The 20,158-nt window shown below is 33.2% G+C and overlaps 1 annotated feature.

The window, feature by feature from the left end:
* Positions 19,335-19,547: a silencer, noted in NCBI's record as "fragment chr15:98172111-98172323 (GRCh37/hg19 assembly coordinates)". NCBI's record gives its function as "represses an EF-1alpha promoter that drives an FKBP-Casp9 reporter gene in an ReSE screen in K562 erythroleukemia cells {active_cell/tissue: K562}" and the evidence as "EXISTENCE:reporter gene assay evidence [ECO:0000049][PMID:32094911]".

Here is a 20,158-nt window from a genome sequence, read left to right as displayed (position 1 = left end):
TTCTTGTCTGTCCCATTAAACAGTGCACACTGCAGCCTCAAAACTGAGTGGAGGGCCTCCTTTGGATGACATGAGACTGCTCATCGTCAAGAGAACAATTGAGTTTCTATCTGACCTATCTGAAAGTGGATAGTTGTGCGACCTCAAGCAAGCCACTTCTTTCTTCTGGATTTGGAGTTTTGTAATCCATATAGCGAACCCACCCCAGTGACCCTGGCATCTTGCTCTTTCTCAAACCCTGTAGGAGTCCTCATGCCTCTGCTTCCAAGGCTCCTTCTATCATGTTCCCCTTCCCTCAGATATCTGCAGCCTCACTTCTTTATGCCAAAGCGTGTATCATTGTTTAGCCTATTTTACTTTTTTAAAACTTTATTTTTAGAGCAGTTTTACATTTATGAAAGATTGCACAAAAAATAAAGTTCCCCTATAACCCTTCCTCCCCATCCCCCCTCCCTCAGTTTCCCCTATTATTAACATCTTGCAATAGTGTGGTCCATTTGTCAGAATTAATGAGTCAATGTTGATACATTATGGTCTACTAAATCCCATAGTTTACATTAGGGTTCAATCTTTAAGTTGTGCATTCTATGGATTTTAACAAATATATAATGATATGTATCTTTCATTACAGTATCATATAGAATAATCCCTTTGCCAAAAAAAAAAAACCCACACACAAACCCTGTATTCCATCTACACATTTCTCCCTCCTTTATCCCAAACCTCTGTCAACCACTGACCTTTTTACGGTCTCTTCACAGAATTTCAAATAGCTGGAATCATACAACATACAGCCTTTTCAGACTAGCTTCTTTCATTTAGTGATATGTATTTAAGCTTCCTCCATCACTTTTAATGCTTGATAGCTCATTTCTTTTTATCATTGAATAATACTCCACTATATGGATATTTTTCTTTATCCATTCACCTATTGAAAGGATGTCTTGGTTGCTTCCAACTACTGGAAATTGTGAATAAAGTTACTATAAACATGATGTGCAGATTTTCTTTTGGATATACATTTCCAATTTATTTGCATAAAAAACCAGCAGTGCAATTGCTGGAAGGTATGGTAAGCCTACATATAGCTTTGTAAAAGACACCAAACTGTCTTTGAAAATGGCTGTGTTAATTTACTTTTTTACTCTTAAAAGTTTAACTATATGGCTCACCAATTATGAAAGTGCCTCTTTTTTTACAGTTCCCTCAATGGAACCTGTTGCCAAACTTTCAGATTTTTGCCATTCTGCTAGGTGAGAAATTGTATTCCAGGGTAGTTTTCATTTATGGTTCTCTTTGTGTGAGATCTTGGCATGTTTCACGTGTTTGAGGGTTACTTGGTTTTCTATTTCTGTGAACTGGCAATTCATATCTCATGCTCATATTTCAATCAGGTTCTTAGTGGGTTTTTTGGCCTCTATTTTTAACAGGTCTATGTATACTAAGGGTGTAAATCTTCCATCCGTGGTATAAATTAGAAATATTTTCCCAAATTTGACATTTGTCTTTTTACTTTACTTTTTTTTTTTTACTATGACACATTGTCTTTATTGTAGTCAAATTTATAATTCTTTCCCTTATAACTTACTGATTTTGAATTATAGTTAGAAAAACATTTCTCTTCTGAGGTTATGGAAGAATTCATCTACTTTTTAAAATCTCTGATCCATTTTGGAATGTTTTCTGCTGTAAACTGTGAAAGAAAGATCAAATTTTATGTTATTCCATATGGTGATCCATGATCCTAACATCATTTATTAAAAGCTCGACTTTTTTCCCACTGATATTTCAGATGTCATTTTTATATAAGCCAAATTTCTATTTGGAATTGTAGACTCTTTCTGGGTTTTGTAATTGTTCTGTCCACCTGTTCATTTATGCAGGCATCAAAACATACCATTTTCTTTATAGTTCATTTATAATATTTTAATATCTGGTAATAAATATTTCCCAGTATTGCTGCAGAAGAATATTTTTATCAATTATTAAGATATAATTTATGTGCAATAAACTTCATTCATGTAAATTGTACAATTCAAAGTACTTTGATAAGTGTATTCACTGTGAAACCACTGCTACCATCACAATGCCAATAATTTCCAAAACCAGCGTACATTTCCTGTTGCCCCTTTGAAGTTCATTCTGCTCCTAGTAAATGAATGATCTGCTTTATGTCAATGTAGATTAGTTTGCATTTTGTAGACTTTAAAGTAAATGGAAACATGCCGTATTTATTCTTTTATATATCACTTCTTTGACTCAGCATAATTATTTTCAGAGTCATATTATGTGTCAGTAGTTTATTCCTTTTGTGATCAAGTAGAATTTCATATTATATGAGTAAACTACACTTTATCCATTCACCTGTTCATGGACATTTGGGGGGTTCCACTTGGCTCTTAAAAATGAAACTGCTATAAACATTTCTGTACGATGCTTTGTGAACATATACTTTCCAACCTTAGGTAGATACTTAGAAGTGGAATGCTGAGTCATGTAGTAGGTGTCTGTTGAATTTTTTTAAAACTGCAAACCGTTTTTTAAGGTTAATGTTCCATTTTACATTCCACCAAAGTTCCAGTTGTTGCATCTTTCATCAATGTGTGGTGTTGGCAGTCTTCTATATTTTGACTGTTATAATGGATATGTACTGGTATCACTTGGTGATTTTAATTTGGATGTATCTCATGATTCATAAAGTTGAGCATCTTTTAATGGGATTATTGGCATTATTATTTCTTTTAAGATGAGTATGTTCAAATTTTTGCCTTCTAAAATATTGTTTTTTATATTGGTGGATTATATGAGTTCTTTATGTATTCGGGATATATGTATTACAAATATTTTTATCATTCTATGCTCTGCTTTTAATTGTTTAAAATGCAAACTTTTTTACTTCATTACAATCATATTTATCATTTTAAATGGTTTGTGTGTTAAATGCCCAAGCTAAAAAATATTTGTCTATCCCAAAGTTGCAGAAATTTTTTCTACTTTTTTTTAAAAAAGGTTTCATCTTTGACATTATATCTATGCGTCATCTCTTATAAATGCTGTATATCATGTGATGTACGGGTCACTTTGTTTTTCATTTGGAAGTCTAGTTGTTTCGGCGTGATATGTTGTAGAGGATTCTCATTTCTTATTGCCAAGAATCAACTGGCAACATATGTGTGAGGCTACTTCTAAACTTTATTTTGTTCTATTTATCTGTATGTTTGTTCTTTCTCCAATACCACGTGGTCTTGAAATCAGGTAGTGTAAATTTTCGATCTTCATTTTCTATCTTGATTCTTTACTCTTAGAGCTTGTTTGAACTTCCACACAAATTTTAAAACTGCCTTCACAAAGTGCTAACATTTTTTTTCTACAAAAAAAAGCCTGGTAAATTTTTAATTAGCATGAAGTTGAACATTTAGATTAATTTGGGAAGAAACACTGTTTTTTAATTCAGGAAACCAGTATTTCTCTGTATCTATTTAGGACATCTTTCATATCTTGTAACAATATTTTGTAGTTTTTAGTGTAAATTATATACAGCTCTTCTTAAATATTTCTAAGTATTTTGTGTTTTTTGATGTTATTGCAAATGGCAATTTTTGTTTTAGTTTCTTTTTTTTGTTGTTATACTTTAAGTTCTAGGGTACATGTGCACAATGCGCAGGTTTGTTACATAGGTATACATGTGCCATGTTGGTTTGCTGCACCCATCAACTCGTCATTTACATTAGATATTTCTCCTAATGCTATGCCTCCCCCAGCCTTCCACCCCTGTGATAGGCCCCGGTGTGTGATGTTTCCCACCCTGTGTCCATGTGTTCTCATTGTTCAACTCCCACCCATGAGTGAGAACATGCAGTGTTTGGTTTTCTGTCCTTGTGATAGTTTGCTTAGAATGATGGTTTCCAGCTTCATCCATGTCCCTGCAAAGGACATGAACTCATCCTTTTATATGGCTGCATAGTATTCCATGGTGTATAAGTGCCACATTTTCTTAATCCAGTCTATCATTGATGGACATTTGGGTTGGTTCCAAGTCTTTGCTATTGTGAATAGTGCCACAATAAACATACATGTGCGTGTGTCTTTACAGTAGCATGATTCATAATCCTTTGGGTATATACCCAGTAATGGGAAGGCTGGGTCAAATGGTATTTCTAGTTCTAGATCCCTGAGGAATCGCCACACTGTCTTCCACAATGGTTGAACTAATTTAAACTCCCACCAACAATATAAAAGCATTCCTATTTCTCCACATCCTCTCTAGCACCTGTTGTTTTCTGACTTTTTAATGTTTGCCATTCTAACTAGCATGAGATGGTATCTCATTGTGGTTTTGTTTTGCATTTCTCTGATGACCAGTGATGATGAGCATTTTTTTTCATATGTCTGTTGACTGCAAAAATGTCTTCTTTTAAGAAGTGTCTGTTCATAATCTTTGCCCACTTTTTGATGGGGTTGTTTGTTTTTCTCTTGTAAATTTGTTTAAGTTCTTTGTAGATTCTGGATATTAGCCCTTTGTCAGATGGGTAGATTGCAAAAATTTTCTCCCATTCTGTAGGCTGCCTGGTCACTCTAATGATAGTTTCTTTTTCTGTGCAGAAGCTCTTTAGTTTAATTAGATCCCATTTGTCTGTTTTGGCTTTTGCTGCCATTGCTTTTTGTGTTTTAGTCATGAAGTCTTTGCCCATGCCTATGTCCAGAATGGCATTGCTTAGGTTTTCTTCTAGGGTTTTTATGGTGTTAGGTCTTACATTTAAGTCTTTAATCCATCTTGAGTTAATTTTTGTATATGGTGTAAAGAAGGGATCCAGTTTCAGCTTTCTACATATGGCTAGCCAGTTTTCCCAGCACCATGTATTAAACAGTGAATCCTTTCCCCATTGCTTGATTTTATCAGGTTTGTCAAAGATCAGATGGTTGTAGATGTGTGGTGTTATTTCTGAGGCCTCTGTTCTGTTCCATTCATCTATGTCTCTGTTTTGGTACCAGAACCGTGTCATTTTGGTTACTGTAGGCTTGTAGTGTAGTTTGAAGTCAGGTAGTGTGATGCCTCCAGCTTTGTTCTATTTGCTTAGGATTGACTTGGCAATGTGGGCTCTTTTTTGGTTCCATATGAACTTTAAAGTAGTTTTTTCCAATTCTGTGAAGAAAGTCAATGATAGCTTGATGGGGATAGCATTGAATCTATAAATTACCTTGGGCAGTATGGCCATTTTCACGATATTGATTCTTCCTATCCATGAGCATGGCATGTTCTTCCATTTGTTTGTGTCCTCTTTTACTTCATTGAGCAGTGGTTTGTAGTTCTCCTTGAAGAGGTCCTTCGCATCCCTTGTAAGTTGGATTCCTAGGTATTTTATTCTCTTTGTAGCAATTGTGAATGGGAGTTCACTCATGATTTGGCTCTCTGTCTATTATTGGTGTATAGGAATGCTTGTCGTGTTTGCCTATGACATTATTATATATTTAGAAAACCCCATCGTCTCACCCCAAATTCTCCTTAAGCTGATAAGCATTTCAGCAACGTCTCAGGGTACAAAATCAATGTGTTTTAGTTTCTAATTCTTGTTAGTATACAAAAATACATTTGATTTTTCTATATTTACCTTTAAGAGTTTTCTAAATTTACTTTGTTGTTTTGTAGAATTCTTAGGATTTTTGTGTAAACAATTATGTCATCTTCAAATAAGAGTTTTATTTCTTCCTTTCCAATCTCTATTCCTTTTGTTTCTTCTTCTTGCCTTTTAATAACAGGATACTTAGTATAATTCTTTTTAAATTTTTTTTAATTTTTAATTTTTATGGGTAAATAGTAGGTATAAATGTTTATGGGGTACATGAGATATCTTTATCTGTATCATACACTATGCATACAATGTGTAATAATCACTTCAAAGTAAATGGGGTATCTTATCACCTCAAGTATTTACCATTTCTTTGCGTAACGATAAATCATTCCAATTATGCATTTTAGCTTATTTTTAAATTTATAATAAATTATTGTTGACTGTAGTCACCGTATTGTGCTATCAAATACTAGATCTTATTTATTCTATCTAATTGTATCTCTGTACTCATTAACCATGCCCACACCCTCCTTTCCCACTACCCTTCTCAGCCTCTGGTAACAATCATTCTACGCAGTATTTCCATGAGTTCGATTCTTTTAATTTTTAATTCCCACAAATGAGTGAGAAGATGTGAAGTTTGTCTTTCTGGCCTGGCTTATTTCACATAACGTAATGTTCATCAACTCCATCCTTGTTGCGAATGACAGGATTTCATTCTTTTTTATGGCTTAATGGTACAATTTGAAGTCAGTAAATGTGATTTCTCCAGTTTTGTTCTTTTTGTTCAGGACAGCTTTGGCTATTCTGGGTCTTTTGTGATTTCATATAAATTTTAGGATTGTTTTTTCTATTTTTGTGAAGAAGGTCATTGGTATTTTTATAGAAATTGCATTGAATTTGTAGATTGCTTTGGGTAGTATGACCATTTTAACAACATTGATTCTTCGAATTCATGAACAGGGAATATCTTTCCATTTTTTGTGTCCTCATCAATTTCATGCATCAATATGTTATAATTTTCATTACAGAGACCTTTCACTTCTTTGGTCAAGTTTATTCTTGGGTATTTTATTTTATTTGGAGCTATAGTAAATGAGATTTCTTTCTTGCTTTCATTTTCAGATTGTTTGCTGTCGTCAGATAGAAATGCTACTAATTTTTGTATGTTGATTTTGTATGCTGAAACTTTACTTTTTTTTAATCAATTCTAATAGTTTTTTGGTGGAGTCTTTAGGTTTTCCCAAATATGAGATTATATCATCTGCAGACAAGGATAATTTGACTTCTTCACTTGCAACTTAGATATCCTTTATTTCTTTCTTTTGTCTGATTGCTCAAGTACTGTGTTGAATAATGGTGGTGAAAGTAGGCATCCTAGTCTTGTTCCAGATCTTACAGAAAAGGCTTTCAGTTTTTCCCCATTCAATATGGGTCTGTCATATATGGTTTTTATTGTGTTGAAGTATGTATATAAATCTCTTCATGATACAAACTCTCAAAAAACTGGGTATAGAAGGAACATACTTCACATTGTATTTCTAATATTATTATTATATATAATTACATATTATATATTATATAATTATATATATTATATAATTACATATTATATATTATATAATTATATATATTATATAATTACATATTATATATTATATAATTATATATATTATATAATTACATATATTTCTATAATTATATATTATATAATTACATATATTTCTATAGTTATATATAAATATATATAATATTTAACTATATATTATATATAATTATATATAATTATTATATATAATATATTATTACATATAATATATAATTATTATATATAATTATATAATATATACTGTGTAATATAATTATATATTATATAATATACAATATATAATATGTAATATAATTATATATAATATATAATATAATGTAATACATGATAATATATATGGGAAATATATTATATAGGATATACATAAATATAATATATAAAATATATGGGATAAAGAACATATTTTTAAACAAATATGGGATTTAGTTTTATATATATTATTTATATATATCATATATATTTTTTAATATGTTTTATCAACCTTTTAAAAGTGTTTTCAACATTTTTTTGTTGTCAGTAAATGCAGATATACTATCATAATTTACCTATTAATTCTCTGATCATTGCTTGTTCAGGTTGTTTTAAATTTTCCTCAATTATAAGTTACATAGCAGTAGATACCTTTATGTGGACAAACTAATAATATTTAAACAAAATTGAAGAGAATTTTTTCTAACATGCAAAATATGATCATGTTTCAATAAATAAGCAAAAGAATAGTGAAAAATAAAATTGCTGCCAATTTTACAAAAATTCACGTATTTAGTTTTCATACCATTTAATCAATATGAACCTCTTTAAAGCCTGATAACTAGCCAAAGAATGTGAACATAGACTAGAAAATGCATACTGGAAAAAAACAGAATAGTTACATATTACATCTCATGTAAAAACAAATTTTAAAAAATAGAATTTCTGTACTCATTAAGTGGACAATTAAAATGAAAATCTTCAATTTGGAAAATGTGTAATGAGACAGGGATTCTTATGAATCACTGATGGGTATCCAAAATATCCTTTGTAAAGAACTTTAGCAAAATATGTTACAAGTCTTACAATATTTATTCTCTTTGACCTAGTTCCACTTCCTGGAATCAATCTTAAGAAAACAATCCTTTGTACAACATTTTGTGGAAAACATTTAAAAATAATAATAATTGTTTAATTCCATTAAATATGGAAAACAAACCTCAACATAATATTATAGGGACATTGAGCTAATTAATATGAAAAAATGCAGAAATTAATAACAATTTTGACAAAATTACTTCAATAGTTGAAAAATGCTTCTATTTTAAGAAAAAGTGAGCAAAGTAAAATTCAAATTCTATATATAGAATATGAGATAACAATATGAAAAACAATATGTATAGATAATAACTAGATGAGAGTTCACAAAAGTACCTGTCTTTGAAGACTAGTATGAAAAGTAGCAATTATTTTAACAATTATTTCTTTCTTTCTTCCACAATAAGGATATGTTAGATTTGTAATTGGAAAGTAATCTTTATTTTCAGTTTTATGTGATTTCTTGTTTCATTAATTTGACGGTATATTTTTAAATGTTCTAATGTACACATGGGGCATAGCCCCTAGATTCAGAAATTAGATAAGGATGCTTGCTAGCTCCACTATTACTCAGCACTGTTATGGATACCTTACACAATAAAATAAGAAAAGGAAAAGAAAGATGATGTTTAAATATTATAAAGAAAGAGTGAAAAAATATTTGTAGATTATCTGATAGCTACATAAAATTGGAACCAAATTTAATACAACAGAAACAAAGAAAAAAGCAAGAAGAGAGTTTGGTGCTCTTTACAAGATAAACATATCAATAGTCCTTTCTGTATTGTACCAACGTACAGTAGGAAAATGGGAGGACAATCACATCTACATACGTAAGTCTCTAGAAATGAAACTAATGAAAGTGTTCAGGACCTAGATATGAAATAAATGTTAACAAATTACTAAATAGCTAAGCAAATGGAGATATATTTTTCATGTTTTTTAATGAGAGAAAATTGTAATAATAATGAAAATAATGTTAGTTAACTATATACTAGGCACCTTTAAGAGTGGTCATATAGCACTCATTTTATACTTATAACATTTTCCATGAGGCTTGGGCTATTAATTTCACCATTTTATGCATATAAAGTTGAGAAAGAGTAACCTGCGTGGGCTGAGCCACTCCTGCAAGGTGCTTTTCTTTTTTTTTTTTTTTTGAGATGGAATCTCGCCCTGTCACCCAGGCTGGAGTGCAATGTCGCGATCTTGGCTCACTGCAACCTCCGCCTCCCGGGTTCAAGTAATTCTCCTGCCTCAGCCTCCCGAGTAGCTGGGATTACAGGCACCTGCTACCACGGCCGGCTAATTTTTTGTATCTTTAGTAGAGACGGGGTTTCACCATGTCCTGACATTACGATCCGCCCGCCTTTGCCTCCCAAAGTGCTGGGATTACAGGCCTGAGCCACGGCACCCTGTTGGTACTTGGTTTTAAATCCAGCTCCCAATAGAATATTTTAATAAAATGTTGCATCTTAAATTTATCTTAAATAAAAATGGTGCTAATACATACAGTACTATTTTGAAAGCAGTACAAATTTTGAAAAACTATAGTCAAATAGGTGATGTTGGAAGAGAAGGGACAATTTTGTCAATGAGATAAAATAGGAAATTTAGTTTTTGTTGCAATCTCAAGAGTGGGGAAAGGTGAACAATTCACAGTGGCTGCTGTGCCAGTTTCCATCTCTATGATATAAATAACATTAGACATTACAAAATGTTTGTAAAATAAATTCCATATAGACCAAATAACTACATTTGAAAGATTATGAAGTGTTACAATTATTCTATATTAGGAAGATCTTTCTAAGTAGGACATAAAACTTGGAAATCTCTCAAAGAAGACTTCCTGTTTTGACTAAATATAACTGAACATCCTCTTCGTGAAAAAGACACCTCCAAATTCAAAACCAAGCAAAAAATCAATGTGATAACATACCTTGAATATATACAAATCTCCCATTAATCACTAAAGAAGTAGAAAGAAAGGAAATAAAATGCAATTTTCAGAAGAAGAAATACAAATAACTAAGACATACATGAGAAGACACTCAGTCCCATTGACAATCAGGAAAATACAAAATAAAATAGCTTCTTTTTATTTCCCCATAAGAAGAATGAACAAAACGAAAGATTAATGTCAAGTGTGGGTAATATTGTGGAAAAACTGACAATTGGATTGTAACAAGTTAATTTTTTGATGACAGTTTAGCAGTATGTATTGAAATTCTCAATTTGTGTACTGTTGGACTAAGCAATACTACTTCAAAGAAATTGTCTTACATAAATACGTCCATATATCTTTGTAATAGTAGAATTTGGACACAATCTAAAAAAGAAATCAAAAGCAAATTTCTTCGGCAATAATAATACATCAGTATCATGGAATACACTGTAGCAACTAAAAAGCATGAGGCATTTATGAACATTTTTAATGTCAAAATAAGCCAAGGCATATTTTAAAATAAGACAAGCATGTCTAAGAGAAGATGGTATAGTAGCATCTCATTTAAGTAAAACTAAACACTAAACTAAACTAACTTCTTGTCATCTGCCATCCTGCCACCCCCAAATATTGCTGCCTATATGTACATATTAAGCTTGTCAATTTGTTTGTAGTCTCTTTCATATGCAAGTATTTTGGAAAGTTCCCATGTTAAGCATCCTCTGTTGGCTCAGGCAAATCAGCTCAGTTTCCAAACTTACAGATCCCACTCAGCAAAACAAAAGTCTTTGTGGTTAATCAAATAAAAATGCCAACTAAAAGAAGCAGTGTTCAAAATGTTATATTTATTATGATTCCCAATATTTATTTTGCATTACTTAGTTTTCTGATAATTAGAACAATTTTGCCACAGCTTTACTTTGAATGTATGTCCTTTATTCCTTGGCTCCATAGAGGCTGTACAGACGCCTTAAAGATGAATGCAGGTATAGTGAGATATTGTAGTTCCCACCATTTTGCCTGATGAGTCACCCTTCCTTTCTAATAATACAGTCATGTTTCAGAGAACTGATGGCTTCAACTTTAAATATAATATATTAATTTGAGGGCAATTCTTTATTATCACTTACAGATATTTTTCCTTTTTAAACAGCTTAAAATATCAATGAATGGTTAAAAAATAAGTGTTAGGCTTTGTCTTTGGGCTCATATTTATAAGCACTTCCAAAGACCTGGTTGAAATTATATGTTAACGAAGCATATTCTTCTTGCATTTCAGTTCCTTGAGCTCAAACACACCTACCTCTTAAATTGACTGTCTTTGTGATCTTGGCCAAGTTACTCAACATCTTTGGTCCTCATTTTTCTCTTTGGAAAGTTCAAACATCTAAAAATATAAATAAGGTCTCTTCTACCTCAAATAATCTATAAGCGAGTAAGTCCAGGAATCAATATAATTTTATGTCTATGACTGAATTATAATAGCAATAATTAAAATCCATTTAAAAGAACCAAGATGACAAATAACTCAATGCAAAGTTACTTATTTTTTAAAGGTCTGTGAGTTATCAATACAACATAAGTGGGACCAATATTTGCATGTGTCTCAGATACTTTATTTGATATACACCAAAATATAGCTTGAACTTCATTAACATGTGAGAAAAAGTCAATAGCAGAAGATGGGTCTTGTTAGGTGACTTCTTGGATACAATCAGCATTTCAATTGTCTTACATATATCAACCAGTTAACATTGTTTATACAATGTGGAATAAGTACCACATTAGAGTGTTACAACATCACACACATAGGAATAATTAATCTATTATACTTTCAACATGAAGGCATGCTTTTTCTTTAGCTTGTCATTTAAACAAGGCATTCTAAAAAGAACTCCCTGGAAGAAATTGGGAGCTAGAGGTGAACATAGATTGAAAGTACAGTGGTCAGATATACCAGATAGTTGTAATGTATGGGTATAACTTAGAGAGACACCAGCCTTTCCATAACACCATAGAAAATCTCTGACTATGGGCTGATGTTGTATTCAGAGCCAGTTGAGACAGAAAGCCTTCTGCTACAAAAGCCTAGAATTTGTTGAATTCCTGACCAATGTATAGGTGTATTAACACAGTTATGGATTTATTAAGTGGAAATAGGTAAGGGATGCCAACCACTGCATGTCATTTAACAAATTTCAACCTATGGGCTTGGGATATATGTTTCAAAGGGAGTACAAGATGAGATAAAAGAACCCTACCCTGGTATTGTTAAATGATGAGGGCTCATGAAACCTTGTGGATATTTACATATTGACCAATGTAGTTAATTAAAAAGGTGAGTGAATAAGGAGTGAAAACCTGCCTGAGGTTGAGTGGGATGATCACCATCAGTAGATCTAATTTTAACTCTGCAACGTTTTATTAGATGGATTCACCATCACCAGCAAAGAAATGCAGAGCAAGCGTGAGGCAGAGGTCTCCATATTTGCCAGACCACAAAATGGGGGTGGTTGTAGCCAAGAGACATGGAAACTGGATATTCTAGGGTATTTTTTTTTTGTATTTGATAAAGTGCTGATTATTTGAATCAAGATCTTTAACAAGTTCTTGACATCATGTGTTGGAGACAATTGTTCTTTCTTCTGTTTCTCTTGCCTCATATTAATGCTTTTTGTCTGAACTTTTTTTTTTAATGATGATCTGAACATCTTTGAAGAGCGGTTGTCACTTCTAGGTGGTTGAAAGGGCAGGATGTGTGCCGCATGGGTGGCATGTTGCACCAGTGTCCTCGCTTGTTGGGCAATTATAAGCTGTGACCATCTAGTCCCGCCATCCTGAGAGGTAATCCTTAACTCTATGCTGTCGAAGTCTCCCTCTGAGTATTCAGTTGAGTAAAAATTAGCACACATCTGTGAAGAATGTGTACTCAAGGCAGGGGAAAGAGCATCTGAAAGGATTAGAGTGAACAACGACCAACACTCTTGTGGGGAGATTAGTGGATGTCAGGGGTGGAAGGAGAAGGAGGAGGGAGTGGCTGCCAATGGCTACTGGTTTCTTTTAGGGTGACGAAAATGTTCTAAAATTAGATGTGGTGAGGGTCACACAGGAATAAGTTAAAACCCACTGAATTATATATTTTAAAATGTTAAACTTTATGCTACATGAATTACATCTCAACAAAACTTTTTCTAACATGCTGTGATTTTGTAGAAAAATTGGAGTGGCTATATTAATATCAGAAAAAGTGTATTTCAGTGCAAAAATATTTTCAGGCATAAAAAGGTAAATTCATAATAATAAATCTGTTGATTCATCAAGAGCACATAATGTATCTAATAACAGATTTCAAAACACGTGAAGAAAAGCTGATAAAATTGCTAAGAAAAGTAGACAAATTTACAACTATTGTCAGATAATTCAGTACCATCTGTGTAATAATTTATAGAATAAGTAGCCATAACATCAGGAGTAATAAAGATTTAAATAACATAATTAACCAAATAGACCAAATTAATATTTACGAAATATTTCCAGCCAACAACAGCAGAATACACATTCTTTTGAAATGTACATGGAACACTCACTGAGACAGACCATATTCTGGGTCATAAAACAAGCTTTAAATTTAAAATAATTTATGTCATATCAGATAGATTATCTGAACATCATGGCATTAAATCAGAAATCAATGATAGAAAGATATATTTAAAAAATCTCCAAATATTTGGGAGCTAGGTAACACATTTCTATAAGAAAAAATTACAAGAGAAATTAGAATTTATTTTTATCAGCATGAAAATGCAAACAGAAGATATAAAAAATGTTTGAGATGCAGCTAAAGTAGCATTTGAGGAAAACTTATAGCCCTAAACAACTTTGCTACAAAATAAAAGAAGTCTAAACTTAATGATATCAGTTTAACCTTAAGAAACTATAAAAAGAAAAGTAAATAAAGCCCAGGAGCAGAAGAAAGAAAACAATATGGATCAGAGTAGAAATCAATGAAATAATACAGGGAAACAATAGAGAAAAATGCGAGAAATGAAAGGCAGGTTTAATTAATCTCTACCTAGAGTGATGAGGAAAATAGCAAGAAGACACAAATTGGCAATATTAGAAATACAAGAGGTAGACAGACACGATGGAGTTTAGAGATTTAAAAAAATGATGAGAATATTATGTACAACATTATGCCAATAAATTTGACAATTTATATGAAGTGGGCAAATGTTTTGAAAGACATTAACCACCAAGTTCACTCAAACAGAAATATGTAACCTGAATTTCCCTATATCTGTTAAGGAAATTTAATTTTTAATAAAAGCAAAAAGAAAACAAACAAAAACTTCCCACAAAGAAAACTCCAAGCCCAGGCAGCTTCAAAAATTTGACAAAATATATGGCTTTTAAGTAAGAAATAATACAAATTCCATATATACGCCTCCAGAATATTAAAGAGGAGGGAATATGTCTCAACTTATTCTATGAAGATTGTATATCCCTGATACAAAATATAGACAAAGCTGTCTCAAATAAAAAAGAGACAGAAAAAAAGAGAATAAGAAAAAAAATCCTATGAACGAAAAAGTCACAAAAATATAGATACAAAAATTCTAAACATATTTTTAATAAGTTAAATACACCAAAAAATTGGATAATAAAGAATGATGTTTTTCCTAGGCTTCCAATTTTGGTTAACTTTCAAAAATTAATTAATCAATGCAATACACAATATTAACAAGGTAATCTGATGCACATCTCAATCAATGATGACAGAAATTTGGCAAAATATCACATTCATCACTGTTATCATCTCTAAACAAACCAGAAAGAAATAAACTTAGTCTGATGGAGTATACCTGTGAATAAACATATAGCTGGCATTATACTTAACAGTGAAAGAGTGAATACTTTCACTTTAAGATTTGAAAAAAAAAGACAGGTATGTTTGTTCTCACAACTTTTATTCAATATTAGATTGAAGGCTACTCATCTGCACAATATGACAAGAAAAATAGAGAAAAGGTTTTCAAATTGGAAAGGAAGAAGTAAAACTCACTTTATTCCCAGACAATATGAGTATCTACATAGAAATTCCTATAGAATCTAGGAAAAAGCTACTATAACATCTAACTATTTAGTTAGAGAATATAAGATCAATTATAGATTAATTATAATTCATATGTTAATACTAACACAAGATAATTGCAAATTAAAATGTAGAAAACAATGCCATTTATAAAAGCATAAACAGATTTAAAAATTAGAGATAATGAATTTGTGCAAGGGCTAAATACTGAAAACTACAAAATATTGCTAAGAGAAATAGAACAATATCTAAATGTGTGGAGAGATATACCATGTTCATGGCTCAGAATACTTGATATTGTTAAGATGTCAGTTATCCCCATATGCATTTGTAGATTGATGTTCAGTCCTAATCAAAATCCTAGCTGGCTTTATTTATTTTTTATGTGTGAAAATTGGCAAGTCAATTCTAAAATTCACAGGAAATGTAAAGGCCAAAATAACCTTAGAAAAAAAACAAAGTTGAAGGACTTGTAGTGTCTGACTTCATGACTGATTATAAATCTAAAGTAATAAAGACTGTGTGGTATTGGTGTCATGATACAAAATTAGATTAATGAAACACAATAATGAGTTTCAAAATAGATGTGCATTTATGGTCAATTAATTCTTGACAAAAGTGAAAAAGCAATTTAATTGAGAAAATTATTATTTCAGTAAATGTTGCTGACAATTTGATATTCATCTACAAAAATGGACTTTGATACAGAAATGATATAATCTCTTGGAAAAATATCTCAGTAATTTCTTAAAATAAATGTTACATATAGATGTACCATGTAACCCAGCCATTCTCATCTTAGAAATTTTTCTAAGATAAATGAAAACATGTGAATGTCATAAGGGGGTATAATAGTCTGTTTTCACACTGCTATAAAGAAATACCTGAGACTGGGTAATTTATAAAGGAAAGAGGTTTAATTGACTCAGTTCCACATGGATGGGGAGGCCTCAGAAAACTTACAATCATGACAGAAGGGGAAGCAGGCACCTTCTTCATAATATGGCAAGAGAAAGAAGGGAATGCAAAGGGGGAAGAGCCCCTTATAAAGCCATCAGCTCTCGTGAGGACACACTCACTATCATAAGAACAGCATGGGGGAACCACTTCCATCATCCAATCACCTCCCTCCCCCAACACATGGAGATTACAGGCTCCTCCCTCAACACATGGGGATTACAATTCAAGAAAAGATTTGGGTGGGGACACAGAGCAAAACCATATCAAGGGGCAAGAGAAAACGTTTGGATGTGATGGATATGCTCATTATCTTATTTGTGGTGATGCTTTCATTGGTATGTACATATGTTGAAATTTATTAAATTTTTCACCTTAAGCATTGCATGTTAATTAACACTGCATGTTAATTAGACTTCAGTAGAGCTATTTTGAAGAATGATACATAATGGGGGATATATTTTAGGTTTAAAACCTATGTACAAAATGAAGGTATACAGGTTTAACCAAAGCATAATAGTAAAAAATATAGAACCTTCTATTAAATATTTCACATGCCTCATTTCATTTAGATTTTCATTAGTGCTTTGATGTAGATAGTATTATTTTATTTTATAACAGAATAATTTGAGACTTATGTGTTAAGATGATTATTGGGAGGAGAAGTATGGTTATGAACTGTTAAAATGATTATTGGGAGGAGAAAAAGAAGGGTTATAAAGAAAGATTTTGCTGCGGTAAGTACTATGCTTGCTTGTGGTTTATGAGGGTGATTAGGGATTTTTTCTTGACTTTAATTATAGACCTACATATAGTATGAGGGCTTGCATTTACTAATGAACTCTTAAATTACTTAAAACTGGAAGTAATAGTACTTACAACGATGGAACAGATACACTAGTATTTTGCAATAATCTGTGTCTGTTTGATACATTGGGCTGGGTTCTGTTCTTTGTACTTTAGGAAATACCAGTGAACTTGAGTTTCTCCAATGAAGGTGATCACAGTGATGAATGACTTGGCTTCTGCACAGCAAAAGACATGATCATCAGAGCGAACAGACAACCTACAGAATGGGAGAGCATTTGTGCCATCTATCCATCTGACAAAAGTCTAAAATCCAAAGTTTACAAAGAACTTAAACAAATTTACAAGAAAAAAACAAACGACCCCGTTAAAAAGTGGGCAAAGGAGATGAACAGACACTTCTCCAAAGAAGACATTCATGCAGCCAACAAAGATATGAAAAAAGCTCGACATTACTACTCATTAGAGAAATCCAAATCAAAACCACAATGAGATACCACCACATGCCAGTCAGAATGGCAATTATTAAAAAGTCAATAAACAACAGATGCTGGTGAGATTGTGGAGAAAAAGGAACACTTTTACACTGTTGGTGGGAATGTAAATTAGTTCAAACATTGTGGAAGACAGTGTGGTGATTCCTTAAAGAACTAGAAGCAGAAATACCATTTGACCCAGCAATTCCATTCCTGGGTATCTACCCAAAGGAATATAAATCATTTCATTATAAAGATACATGTACGCGTATGTTCATTACAGCACCAATCACAATAGCAAAGACATGGAATCAATCCAAATGCCAATCAATGATAGACTGAATTAGAAAAAAAAAGTAGTACATGTATACCATGAATACTATGCAGCCATAAAAGGAATGAGATCATGTTCTTTGCAGGGTCATGGATGGAGCTGGAAGCCGTTACTTTCAGCAAACTAACACAGGAACAGAAAGCCAAACACTGCATGTTCTCACTTATAAGTGAGAGCAGAATGATGAGAACACATGGACACATTAGGGGGATCAACACACACTGGGGCCTGTTGTGGGGATGGAGGGAGGGAGAGCATCAGAAGAATAGTTAATGGATGTTGGGCTTAATACCTAGGTGATGGTTTGTGATATGGTTAGGCTTTTTGTCCCCACCCAGATCTTATCTTGAATTGTAATCCCTGTAATCGCCAAGTGTCTAGGGAGATACCTGGTAGGGGGTGATTAAATCATGGGGGCGGTTTCCCCCATGCTGTGGTTGTACGGAAAAGAAAGAGAGATCAGACTGTTACCGTGTCTATGTAGAAAGGAAAGACATAAGAGACTCCATTTTGAAAAAGACTTGTACTTTAAACAATTGCTTTGCTGACATGTTGTTAATTTGTAGCTTTGCCCCAACCACTTTGCCCAAACCACTTTGACCCAACCTGGAGCTCACAAAAACATGTGTTGTATGAAATCAAGGTTTAAGGGATCTAGGGCTGTGCAGGACGTGCCTTATTAACAAAATGTTTACAAGCAGTATACTTGGTAAAAGTCATTGCCATTCTCTAGTCTCAGTAAACCAGGGGCACAATGCACTGCGGAAAGCTGCAGGGACCTCTGCCCTTGAAAGCTGGGTCTTGTCCAAGGTTTCTCCCCATGCGATAGTCTGAAATATGGCCTCGTGGGATGAGAAAGACCTGACCGTCCCCCAGCCCGACACCCGTAAAGGGTTTGTGCTGAGGTGGATTAGTAAAAGAGGAAAGCCTCTTGCAGTTGAGATAGAGGAAGGCTACTGTCTCCTGCCTGCCCCTGGGAACTGAATGTCTCGGTATAAAACCCGATTGTACATTTGTTCAATTCTGAGATGAGAGGAAAACCACCCTGTGGTGGGAGGCGAGACATGTTTGCAGCAATGCTGCCTTGTTATTCTTTACTCCACTGAGATGTTTGGGTGGAGAGAAACATAAATCTGGCTTACGTGTATGTCCAGTCATAGTACCTTCCCTTGAACTTAATTATGACGTAGATTCTATTGCTCACATGTTTGTTGCTGACCTTCTCCTTATTATCACCCTGCTCTCCTACTACATTCCTTTTTGCTGAAATAATGAAAATAATAATCAATAAAAACTGAGGGAACTCAGAGACCGGTGCCAGTGCAGGTCCTTGGTATGCTGAGCGCCGGTCCCCTGGGCCCACTGTTGTTTCTCTGTACTTTGTCTCTGTGTCTTATTTCTTTTCTCAGTCTCTCGTCCCACCTGACTAGAAATACCCACAGGTGTGGAGGGGCAGGCCACCCCTTCAGTCGTCATGATAATAAGTGAGTTATCAAGAGATCTGATGATTTTATAAGGGGGTCTTCCCCCTTTGCACGCCACTGTCTTGCTTGCTGCCATGTAAGATGTGCCTCTTCCCCTTCCACCATTATTTTAAGTTTCCTGAGGCCTCTCCAGCCCTGTGGAACTGTGAGTAAATTAAAGCTTTTTTCTTTATAAATTACCCAGTCTTGGGTATGTTTTTATAGCAGTGTGAAAACAGACTAATACAGGTTGATCTGTGTAGGAAACCACCATGGCACACATTTACCTATGTCAAACTTGCACATCCTGCACGTGTACCCTGGAACTTAAAATAAAATTGATTAATAAAAGGAAAATATAATTGTACGAAGATACAATGTTATTGAGCCTCAGTAAGAGAACTATTGGCACAATCATAATTTAATATCTTAATTACTGCTATATGGCACAATACCGTAGTTCTCCTGGGCAGCTCCAAAGGTAAGGATTAAGACTTGAACAGGCAGACTTGAATATGAAAAGGTTTCCCTGCTGACACAGTAAAATGGAAAAATGTGTTTGCTTTTCGTGGGTGGTGCTTGCAGTGGCTGGATGGCACTGTAGAGAAGATCCTAACATTGGGCTTATTTTGAATCAGTAAACATTAAGGTCCCTCTCTACTCAATAAGATAAAAATAAAAGTGAAACAAACAACTTTGACAATCAGTATGAATGTATATGTAAGTATACATAAGGAGAGAGTAATGAATGATACATGAAATAAGTAAAAATAGTCAAATTTATCAAGTGTTTAATATTAATCAAGGAATCATACATAATATCAGCTGATCATTACT

This window comes from Homo sapiens, chromosome 15 (assembly GCF_000001405.40).
Source record: "Homo sapiens chromosome 15, GRCh38.p14 Primary Assembly".
In the NCBI taxonomy this organism is placed as follows: Eukaryota; Metazoa; Chordata; class Mammalia; order Primates; family Hominidae; genus Homo; species Homo sapiens.
This window is presented reverse-complemented; position numbering and strand designations above follow the sequence as displayed.